We start from the raw sequence: 10,909 nt of genomic DNA on the forward strand, positions 1-10,909 counted from the left end.
CTCAGCTTCACAGCCCCTCCCCTGATGCTGAGAGAGGGACTAGGAGAGGGGTCCCAAGATCAATCATTTCATGTCATTATTCATTCATTATGTGTTCACTGAGCATCCTGCTATTCCAGCCTGTGCTAGGCATGAGGTGGGGGTGGGGGGTGTCCAGGAGAACATGTCCCAGTCCCTGACTTCATTCCTGATGCCCCCAGTTCAGATTCTTCCCTAGTTTTGCCCCTAGGGACCTTGGTATAAAAAGGCATTTCCAGGTCCCTTGCCTTCCAGCCCAGCAACCCTCCCCAGGGGGAACAAAAATACTCCACGTGGTTCATGCCCATGCTATGAGCTGGGGACAAAGCAATAAGGAAGGCGCCATGCAGGCTCTGCCTCCACAGAGCTAGGATGGAGCCTGCAGAGAGTCACTGAGTTAGTGGTGACAAGCATAGCCCAGTGACAAAAGAGAAAGGCAAGGGCTGGAGACCCATGTTGGAGATGGGGGAAGGCTTCCCTGAGGAAGTGGCCTTAAGGGCTTCTGGTGGGGAGGTTGCTGGGCCCCTTTGAAGAGACTGAGGCTGCCCTTCCCTGACTTCCTGGCCCCAGCCTTCTCCTGCAATCCCCCAACCTGCTCCCTCTGCCCCCAGCCCCACTAGTGCCCCATCAACATCATCCTCCTGCCCACCTGGGGCCTCGGAAACTCATCTCCAAGCACTTTTTGGCTTGGAAGTCTCCAAGTCTCAGGCTGTTGGGTAGTTGGTAAACAGCTTATTAAGGTGATTAACACTGCAATTAAAGCTGGAAAAACAGAGGCCAGGGTGCTGGCTGCTTCCCCTTCTCCTTCCCCCTCCATTCTCCCCTTCCCTTCCAATCCCCTCCAGGCTTAGTTGATGGAATTCAGCCAACGTAGCCACCTAGAGCCCTCATCTAGGGTCTTGGAAGTCAGGGGCTGGGAGGCTGAGGGTCAAGGGTCTTTGCCAGCTGTCTAGAATCTTTACCACTTTGCTCACATTACCCCAGTGGCTCTGCTGGACTAGATAATAAGCGGTAGGGGTAGTGTGGTCCTGAAGGGTGTGGCATATGGAGGCTGAAGTGGGTGGGGTCTCTGAGATCCCCTAGTATCTGGGACCCCCTCCAGGGAGGGGTCCTTAGGGAAAGAGAGATCATCCTTCTCATCCACTTCCCCAAGTGAGAAAAGCAGAAGCTATCTCCTCCCAAAAGAGGCGCAGGAGCTTCCGTACCCCAAGCTCAAGGTGCTGGAGCATCTTCCAGCAAACCTGAGGGTCTGGGAATGGCAAGACCCTTACCCTTCTCTTAGCCTGACACCCAGGGAAGGATGTGGGGACCCTCTGAGTCTGCGGTTTCCCTCCCTGCACTGGCCCCAGCATGATTCATAAGACAGCTGCGATCAGGCTCCACAAGCCTCACTCCTCTTGACCCCATGAAGTCCCAGAGGGGGGATATGTTCCCAGAGCCGCCCCCCACCCATCTTTGCCTATCATGCTTCCATCTTCTTACAAGGCTTCCTTCAAATGCCTCCTCCTCTATGCAATCTTTCCAGGCTTCCCTCCCACTCACCACCAACTGCCTTGCCCTTTCCTCTGACAGTCCATCCTGTCCTCCCTGGACTATGTCAGGTGTGCCCAGCTTCAGGCCCCTCCCGAGTGGGTCTGCTTCTGGCCCTGGAGCTCTTAGCACAGGGTCTGTGCCTTCCTTTTCCAGGCTTTGGTCATCAGTCAGACCACCTCCTGGAACAGTGCCTGAGATATAGCAGGTGCTCAATAAATAATTGGTTGATTTATTCCTTTTATGAGTGCACCTAGAGATGCATGGGTCAGCCAATGTAGCAAGTGCAGCCAGTGGGCTGGGTCTGAACTGGGGGTGTGGAGTGATGGATGGGGCAGGAGGCAGGCTGGGGAGCAAGCCCCATCCCCCTGGTCACCATTAGCAGCCGCCGCTTCCATTAACTGAGTAGTACTCACCATCTGCTGGGGACCTTGTTAAATATTTTACTCACATTATCTCATTTAATCCTCTCAACAACCCTGCTAGGTAGGTAGCATTATCCCTACACTACAGATGAGGAAACTGAGGCTTAGAAAGGTTAAGTGACTTGCCCAAGGTCACACAACCAATAAAGTACTGGAGGCAGGATTCAAATCCAGGTCAGCTGACTCCAGCATGCACATTCCTGACTGCAACATTAAGCTTTCCCAGGACCAGCCCTCCCCTCTCCATTTCGCCTCCCAGGGAAGAACCCAGGGAGGAGGGCTGGCCAGCTGGGGTGGGTGGGGCTGTGGTGGCTCCAGCTTTCAGACACTCTGCACTGGGATGCCCAGAGATTCTGAAAAGCCCACTAAGAGCACCCATTCTCCAGACCTAGGGTTCAAATTCTAGCATTGGCAAGTATGAGTTATGTGACCTCAGCAGAGACTAAATTTCTTTTGCCTCCGTTTTCCCACCTGATAAATGGGCACTATACCACCTACCTCCCAAGCTGTTGTGAAGGTCACATGCAAAGTGCTTGGCACGGAGTAGGAGTTTAGCGAATGCCAGCTGTGTCTAAGTTTTGGAGAACAGTGACCCTCAGGGCAGGCTGGGGTTCCCTAGCCCGCCCTGCTTCTTCCCCGCCTCACAAAGGTTGTCACGAGGCCATGGGTGTAGTCAAGAAGCACCTGGTAGAAGATGGGCTCAGCAGGCTTACCCTGGTACCCTGCCAGGGCCTCCACCCCCAGCCCCTGTGCTTGTGGGGGGCCCCCATCAGGGCTGATGAAGAGGGTGACCTGCCTGGCCTAGAGGAGAGGAGAGGAGGAAGGGGAGGTCAGGGGTGGGGCTGACCCCCACAGGAGGTCACCTGGGCAGTTAATCCAGCCTGACAGAGCCGGGATGAGCAGGGAGGAATTAGGGAGCTTACAACATCCTTTCATCCCAGAGCCGCGGACTGCCCGCCCTGCCTCCCTCCTTCCTTCCTCTCTCTCTGCCCTTTCCTTCTCTCTCCCTCCCTTTGCTGGCAGCCCAGCCCTAATAAAATGCAGTGTCTCCAGCAAGTCTGCCCGGCTGCCGCCTCGCTGCTCCCGCCTGCACGCAGCCCTCAAACCAAACTACTCAGCTCAGCCCTGCCTGGCAGCTGCCACCTTAACCCTTGCCAGCCCGGCTGGCATCCGTGGGCTGGAGGCCCTCCTCCCTTCCGCCTCCCGTGGGCATGGGGGAGGGAAGAGCCTACCTTCTGAGAGGGAGGGGACTGGATGAGGGCTGGGTCTCCCCAGCTCTGGAGCCCTGCTGGAGGACCCCCCATCTGTGTGGCTGTGAGCGTCCAACAAATCCCTTCTGTGAGCTTGAGACCCGCTCCTTCTGCCTCATCCTTAGTCGGCTGTGTGCCTCAAAACAGCCCCAGAGGTCAACAGGGTGGGGATCGTTATCCCTATTTGACAGATGGGGAAACTGAGGGCCTTGACACAGAGGTTCCTATCTAAGCTGGGTCACCTCAGCTGTTGGGTAGTGTTTTCTTCTTTCTCTTTCTCTCGTTCTTTCCTTTTTTTTTTTTTTCAGGGTCTTGCTCTGTCGCCCAGGCTGGAGTGCAGTGGTGTGATCACTTCTCACTGTAGCCTCAACCTCTCATGCTTAAGCAATCCTCCCACCTCCGCCTCCTGAGTAGCTGGAACTACAGGTGCATGCCACCATACCCGGCTAATTTTTGTGTTTTTTGTAGAGACGGGGTTTCACCTTGTTGCCCAGGCTAGTCTCGAGCTCCTAGGCCGAAATGACCTGCCCACCTTGGCCTATCAAAGGGCTAGGATTATAGGCGTGAGCCACCATGCGTGGCCATGCTACTGATTTTCTATCTGACTTTTTCCATTACAGGGAGCTGCTCTGCTTCTGTGTGTGTGTGTGTGTGTGTGTGTGTGTGTGTGTGTGTGTGTGTGTGTGTCTGATGCTAGGGTGACTTGAGTGATGTGTGGCTGTGCACCTGTGTTGGCAGCCCGCATCTCTTGGAGTATTATGGCTTTGGCTTTGTACCTCGTGTGATGCCAACATGTCTCAGGTGTGTGTTTGCGTCTGTGGATGTGTCTGCAGATGACAGGTTTGCCTCAAGTGGGAGTCCATGTGTGTGTGACGATGGGGAGATGTCATTGTGTGTCTTGATGCATGCATGTGAGAGAGAGGTAGCTTCACAAGCGTGTGCATGCATTCACGCTGTCTCCCATCTGTGCCAAGATGTGTCACTCTCACACACCTCCGTTCATTCTGCCACCTCCAGCTCTCCGTCTCCAAAGCCTTGGAGTTGGGCACCTAGAAGAGGAGGGTGGCGGCAGGGAAAAGGCTCTGAGTCAGGGCCTGAGCCCTCCTTGAGAATTAAACACAGACCCCTCCCCCATCACCAGGCCTGGATCACAGTGCTAGGTCCCTCCCCACTGAGGGAGCAGTCGTGTCCCCCTGACTGAGGCCCCACCCTCACCCCAAGCTGAAAGGGACAGACAGGAGGGTGAGGGGCCAGGAGTGCCTGGGCATGGAGGCAGGGGGTTACACACATGTGCAAGCATGTCTGCATGTGAGCTCCAGATCAAAGACCAGCCCTGAGGTGACCCGGCGGCGGTGCAGAGGGAGCTGTCTGATTCTGAGCACCAAGCTGCCAAGCAGTGGAGTCAGGGAAGCTGCTGCTGGGAGCCTCCCCCAAAGACCTGCCCAGATTGGGGACAGCCATGGTTTCAGGAGCACCTGCCACCAGGGGCCAGGCCCAGCCCAGCACCTTAGTAGTGGTTTCCTAGGGGCCCCGTCTCCCTCAGAGCGCAGAAGTGCCTCCTCACTGGACACCTTCCCCAACTCTCAGACCCTCCCCACAAGAGCTGCCACCAGCCTCCAGTTCAAAGAGCTCAGTGGTTATTTTCGTCTTTTTTATTAACATTATATATAAAGATGAGTCCAGTAAGAAAGCAGAAATGAGAAGGCTGGGAGGGGGTGGGAGATGGCTTTGCTTCTTCCCCCCCGGGTGGGACTCTTGGAGACCTACCACGTCTCTCTTGGCCCCTGCACCTCCCACAAAACCCAAATCCAGCCGGAGCCCACATCTCTCAGCTTGAAACACACAGGGAGATCCGTCCAGGAGGAACATGGCCACATAAATAGGAAACCGCAGCAGGGAGGAGGCTGCTTCTCTCTGTTGCTCTTAAAAAAAAAAAACTTACTATATATTTATATATATAGCTACAGTCTTCTACCTCTCCTTTTTTTTTTTTTTCAATGTTTTACTGCATCAGGGGTGGGGGAAAGTTAGCTTTGGTGGGATGTCTGGGTCAGGGAGGGGCAGTGCCACCAGCCCTCCAGGCAGTTACCCCTTACTCCCAAAGGCACAAGTTCTAACTCTCCCCTCCTCTCCCATACACCTCACCCGACATTCTCCAGCTCGGAGCAATCTGTTTCCAAGGCCACCGGAAAGGAGGTGTTTGGGGGTTTGTCTTGCCTGGTATGTCTCTTTGGAGATTTGGGGTTTGGCACCAAAACTGCCAACTTACTGGAGGAGTAGAGAAGGTGAGGTGGGGGCAGGGACAGAACAGAGGCACCCTTGCAAGGGGAGACTTGGCCCTATCTGTGAACAATGCCCTTTGTTTTCCTATTTTTCAACAGCTTTTAAAACCAAAGTTGTGCAAAGTCCTGGACATGGAAGAAATAAGTCCATAGGAAAAACGTCTGAGACCCACCCCTCCTCTCGGAACGGAGGAGAGGGGAGAGAGATGGCTCCTTTAGTTCTTTCCTCTAAAGCCACAAATATTAAAAGATTCCCTCACTTAGGGGGTTTTCTTTGGTTTCACCCTCAAATCTTAAATGAGGGCTAGAAGTGCAGGGCGGTGACCAGTTCAGGTCCCCACCCGGAGTCCTCGTCATGATGTCCACTGTCTTATTGGCCGAGGGGCCGCTCGAGCAGGGGGAGACCACCAGAGGCTCAGGAGGAACTAGGCCTGGCAAGTTTTAAGATCCACGGTGCCAGGTGCCCCAGCACAGGCAGGACCCGCAAACCCTCCACACTCTCCCCCATCCCAAGGTCTCCAGTCTGGGAACAGGCACTAAGTTTAAGAAGCTGGAAGATGATGAGCCATTTAAAGCCAATCCAGGCTCCTGGAGCAGGTAGGGGAATGGCTGTCCCCACTGGGGTGGAATGTCCCCACATCTGGAGGGGTACCCCAGTGTCTAGGCAGAGGGAGGGAGGTTCAGGGGGCATCCTTGGTCCATGCAATTGTCATCTGGAAGCGCTTGGGTCCCTGGAGGAAGGGGCAAGGGAGGGGGAAAGGGAGTTCCTTTTCCCTGTGCTCCTCGATGATTCCTGAGTGGCTAGGACGGAGGCGCCTTCTGCCTGGTCCTGGGGTCCTTTGTCAAGGGTGCAGGCCAGATGGGTGCTCAGTACACAGCCCCAGGGTTGGGCGGGGGCCCGGGAGAGGCATGGTGCAGGGTGGCTGGCTGAGGCGGCTGCTGCTGTAAGTGGGGTCCACTCAGGTTCTGTGCGTGATACCAGGAGTTGGTGGGGTCGTCCAGGTAGCTGGGGGAGGCACTGTATGGGAGCGGCGGGGGCAGCTGACTGCGGGCAGGGGCCGGAGTGGAGTGGGAAGAGGTGTCCCAGAGGGCGGGTGATGGTGGTGAGTTGCAGGCCATGGAATCACTGTTATTGGGACTGTGCTCCAGCGGCACCTCCCCGTTCTTGTAGAGTTTCTTGAACTTGGAACGGCGGTTCTGGAACCAGATTTTCACCTGGGCCAGAGAAGAAAGGGGTAGCTAGTTAGCCTCTCAGAATGCTAAAACAACCCTGGGAAGAACCTAGCCAAGAAAAAGAAAGGCCAGAACCCAATTTCACATAAGAATCAGGCAAAAAACAGGCCTCCTGACTCCCAGTTTCTTGGATCTGGGATAGAATTGTGGCTAGGAACGTTCAGCTGCCTGGGTCCAAATTCTGCTCTGTCACTTACTAAGCGTGACCTTGGGCAAGTTGTTTAACCTCTCTTGTTCTTGACTTCCTCTTGTCTGCAAAATGGGGATGAGAACAGCACTATTACCTGCCTCATAGGGTCATTCTGAGGCTCAAATAAGGTACGACATATAAAAAACTTAAAGCAGCCTGGTATGTAGTAAGCACTCAATAAAAGGCCGTTGAGGTGGGAGATGGACGGTTTGTAGCATTTCATTCACATTAGACACCCATAAGCAGAGGTGCACAGATACACAGAGACAAACACACCCACATACACATCTCCATACCCAGCCACGTTCCCACTCACAGCCTCACACACAGACACCAGACAATAAAAATACACGCAGACACAGATACACCCAGATAAGCACCCCACAACATGAGCACCCACATTCACACACTCAGGTGTGGAGAAGTTCTCCTGGGCTCGGGCTGGATAATGGGGGTGACCTGGGGACTCAGGAGCAGGTGAGCCATGATTCCCCAAATTTCCCCTGGGGTATCTCCCCCTCCCCCTGCCACTCCCCACCCCATGACTGGTACAAACAATGAATCAGCTCCTCACCAGGTGACCCAGATTCCCGGCGGATGGGGCCCCACGCAGCCACAGCCACAACCTAGGCCCGCCTGTCAACACCTGGAGGGAGCCAGGCATCCACTGCTCCTCCCCTGAGCAGTGACAGGCTGCTGGGGGCTTTAGGGACTGGATGAGGGTGGGGGTGCGGCACTCACTTTTGAGTCCCCATCTCCTTCAGGTAGGGAATTTGGCCTCTCTTGAGCGTTCAAGTGCTGAGCAGGAATGTGGTATTTTGATGCAAGCACACATTTCTGAACATGCATTCAGAACGCATATACATTCAGGGCGCACAGTCACACACACATGCCCCCATCGTTATGCACAATGACCCCGGCAGGATCACACTCCTTACATGAGCATCCTCCGGTGCATGCAGACCCACACAGCATGTGTGCAAACACACTCGCCTATACATGCACACAGACAGTCTGCACACATGCCTAGCCTGGAGGGAAAACACGATGTGGACTCCTACTAAGTGACTAGCACTGCTGGGGGACTTGGGAGCTGGGAATTCTGGAGTAGGGGAACATACACAGTTGCACGGGTTCACAACTATGCTCACTTGTACACGTGCTAACGCAGAACCTTCCCACCGAAGTTGAACCTCGCAGGCCCCCATCCCAAAGGCAAGAGTTCCAGGAGCCCGCAGGGCCCTTCAGTGGCCAGCCAGGCTCGGCAGCGCGCGGGGAACTACGGGGTCCCGCGCGCCCCCGCGGCCCTGGACAGCCAAACACCAACCTGTGTCTGCGTGAGGCCCAGCTGCGCGGCCAGCTCGGCGCGCTCGGGCAGCGCCAGGTACTGGGCCTTCTGGAAGCGGCGCTGCAGGGCGGCCAGCTGGTAGCTGGAGTAGATCGTACGCGGCTTTCGGACCTTCTTGGGCTTCCCATTCACCATGCGCACCTCTGCTTCCGGCTCCTCCTTCACCGACACTGCGGGGAACGCACCGGGCGGAAGAGGGGGCGGTTCAGCCTCGGCCTGCGACTCCTGCGACCCTCCAGGGCCCCGCCGGACGCCCCTCGCTTCCGCCCACCGACTCGCCGCGGGATTCCCGGCCGCGCGCTCCGCTGCCCGCGGCCCAGGGGGGAGCCGCGGCCCCAGAGCCAGAACTGGCCGCGGCCCACAACGCGGCGCTCCCAGCTCCGCGCCCGGCCGCCGCAGCACTGTCCCCGGCGCCAGCCGCCGCCTGCGCCAGGACCGCCTCGGCTTCGCTCACGACGCCTTCCCGGCTCGCCTCCCAGCCTCGGGGCTCCTCGCCGCCCGGCTGCTAGCCGCCCCCTTCCCAGTCCCATCTCGCCGTCGGTTGTTTCTCTCGCTCCTTCCCGTCCGCCCCCCGCCCTTTAAAAAAGTTTCATTTTAGAATCTCTTTAGATTTTCAGAAAAGTTGCAAGGATAGTGCAGACTTTCTTTCTTTCCCTGTCCCCCTTCTTCCCCCCTTCCTTCTCTCCTTCCTTTCTTGTTTCTTCTGCCCTTTCTCTCACTGTCTTTCCATACTTCCCTCTTGCTGCCTTCACTTTTCCCTTTTTCAGCTTCTCTGCCTCTCGGTGGCTGCTTCCCTCCGCTTTCCCGCAACTTCCGTGGGTCCTTCTCATTGCCCCCTCACGACTCCTAGTCTCCCCATCCCTTATCCAAAGGAGGGCCCCTAGAGTTTCCAGCCCCTGCCGCCTACCCCCAAGCCCTCTGCGACTTGATCGAGGATCGCCTGCTGAAATGCCCACGAAATCACCTCGATTCGGAGGTTTCCTAACAACCCACAGCCTTCCCCTTCCTCTCTCAGCTCATCCCGATCCTCATCCGGGACCGCGGCGCACTGCGCACATCGCGCCCCAAATGCTTGCACACCCGGGGCTGGAAGGTCGCCTGGTCCCTCTGAGGGTCATCTAGGCCAACTTCTCTAACTCCAGACAGTACTTTTCTTAGAAGTTTTCCTAGATTTTGGCTTCCAGTCCATGCCTTTTCCTCCCTCGGGAACCTTCCAGTGTCTCCCACTGTCCTCGCGACCCCGTGGCCCTCACCTGGGTCCTGGGCTGGCAGCGGCTGCTCCCGATACGCCCCGTATTGCCGGTAGGAGGCTCCGTAGGTATATTCCGACTTGGGCGAGTAAGCGCCCGTGCCTGCAAGCCCATTGAGATTGAATTGGTGGTGGTAGGTGTAGGGGTTCACCGTCTGGCCATAGGGCTGGCCCGAGTAGTAATCGTGCTGGGGAGCGCTGTAGTAGCCCAGGTCAGTGACAGAAGACTCGGGCAGGGTAGGCGAGTCCTTGGAGCCCGCATGGCAGCTAAGGGAGCTGGAGATGTCGGTGAGGATGCTGCTGAGCTTGCGATCGAAGGAGCCACTCATCCTGGCGGGCGCTGCACCTCCCCAGGGCTGGCCTCCGCAGAGGACAGGAACGGACCGGAGTGCGAGAGAGGCGGAAGAGACGAGGCAGGGGTGTGTGTCCAGAAGGCGAAGGGAGGACCCGGCCGCGTCTGGGGGGAGGGGGAGGCCGAGAGGCGCTTACACCATTGCCTGCCGTCAGGCGGTCGCTGCGCGCCTCTCCTCGCGTCCCAAGCCACAATCAAATGCTGCCAGCTCCGCCCGGCCAGCCGGTTATAGACTCAATAGTGGAGTCGCCGAGGGAGGCTCCTACGCGCTGATTGGCTGCAAGTCTTGCCTTCCAGGCAAAACACGCTTTTGCTCTCTCGCTCCTATGCTCTCCTCTCTCTCTCTCTCTCCCTTTTCCTTCTCTCCTCCCTCCTCTCTCTTCTTTTTCCCCAGTCTTTGTTGTTACTCAAAACACACACACACACACACACACACACACACACCCTCGCTACTCTTGTAGCTCCAGCCCAGATAAGTTCTCTGAAGGAGGGGCGTGGAGGTGGAGGGGAAGGGTTGCTCTGTGGAGCCCCCAGGATCTGTCAGTCTGTTTCTCTGGCTGGGGGATGAGAGATGGGCTTAGGTGAGGTGGGCAAGGAGGGGAGTTTGCCCATTGTGTGTTTGTGGAAAGAGATGGTCTAAGGTGGGGTATGGTTGTGTGTGTGTGCACACGTGTGCACGCACTGTGCAAATGACAGGCACACAAATGTACCCAAAGTGGTGAGGACTCACAGCCCCTGAAAATGGTTTCTCTTAAAATCAGAAGAAAAGGAAAACACCTTTTAGGTGAAAGAGAATGTTTGAATATATGATATTAATATATTATCTTAATAGCAATGCAGTCATTGCTATTATATCCTTGTATTACATAATTACAAAAACGTAATTTAAAAAATTTTCTTTTTATTTAGGAAGGTGCCCACCGGGCAAGAATGTCTTGAGCCTATGAAAGACATAATTTAGCACTAGGAGGATCCTATTGGAGAAGGGGAAGCAGACCTGTGTGGATTTAGAGGTTGTTGGGGATGTACAGC

General features: G+C 55.9%; 1 protein-coding gene across 1 annotated transcript, besides 4 other annotated features; it reads right to left on the minus strand.

Annotated features, from left to right (window-relative positions):
- Window positions 3,989–4,490: an enhancer, noted in NCBI's record as "H3K4me1 hESC enhancer chr17:48066497-48066998 (GRCh37/hg19 assembly coordinates)". NCBI's record gives its function as "activates a minimal SCP1, AML or CMV promoter by ChIP-STARR-seq in naive H9 embryonic stem cells {active_cell/tissue: H9 hESC(naive)}" and the evidence as "EXISTENCE:reporter gene assay evidence [ECO:0000049][PMID:30033119]".
- Window positions 4,491–4,990: an enhancer, noted in NCBI's record as "H3K4me1 hESC enhancer chr17:48066999-48067498 (GRCh37/hg19 assembly coordinates)". NCBI's record gives its function as "activates a minimal SCP1, AML or CMV promoter by ChIP-STARR-seq in naive H9 embryonic stem cells {active_cell/tissue: H9 hESC(naive)}" and the evidence as "EXISTENCE:reporter gene assay evidence [ECO:0000049][PMID:30033119]".
- On the minus strand, window positions 4,861–10,080 carry DLX3 (distal-less homeobox 3). Its single transcript, NM_005220.3, has 3 exons — window positions 9,530–10,080; window positions 8,256–8,446; window positions 4,861–6,720 (listed from the first exon to the last, which is right to left on the minus strand). The coding sequence occupies exons 1-3, from the start codon at window positions 9,852–9,854 to the stop codon at window positions 6,373–6,375; spliced, it is 864 nt and encodes a 287-aa protein (NP_005211.1). The 5' UTR covers window positions 9,855–10,080; the 3' UTR covers window positions 4,861–6,372.
- Window positions 8,662–8,711: a silencer, noted in NCBI's record as "silent region_8677". NCBI's record gives its function as "represses an Ori minimal core promoter by ATAC-STARR-seq in GM12878 lymphoblastoid cells {active_cell/tissue: GM12878}" and the evidence as "EXISTENCE:reporter gene assay evidence [ECO:0000049][PMID:35858748]".
- Window positions 9,785–10,367: an enhancer, noted in NCBI's record as "H3K4me1 hESC enhancer chr17:48072293-48072875 (GRCh37/hg19 assembly coordinates)". NCBI's record gives its function as "activates a minimal SCP1, AML or CMV promoter by ChIP-STARR-seq in naive H9 embryonic stem cells {active_cell/tissue: H9 hESC(naive)}" and the evidence as "EXISTENCE:reporter gene assay evidence [ECO:0000049][PMID:30033119]".

This window comes from Homo sapiens, chromosome 17 (genome assembly GCF_000001405.40).
Source record: "Homo sapiens chromosome 17, GRCh38.p14 Primary Assembly".
Taxonomy (NCBI): Eukaryota; Metazoa; Chordata; class Mammalia; order Primates; family Hominidae; genus Homo; species Homo sapiens.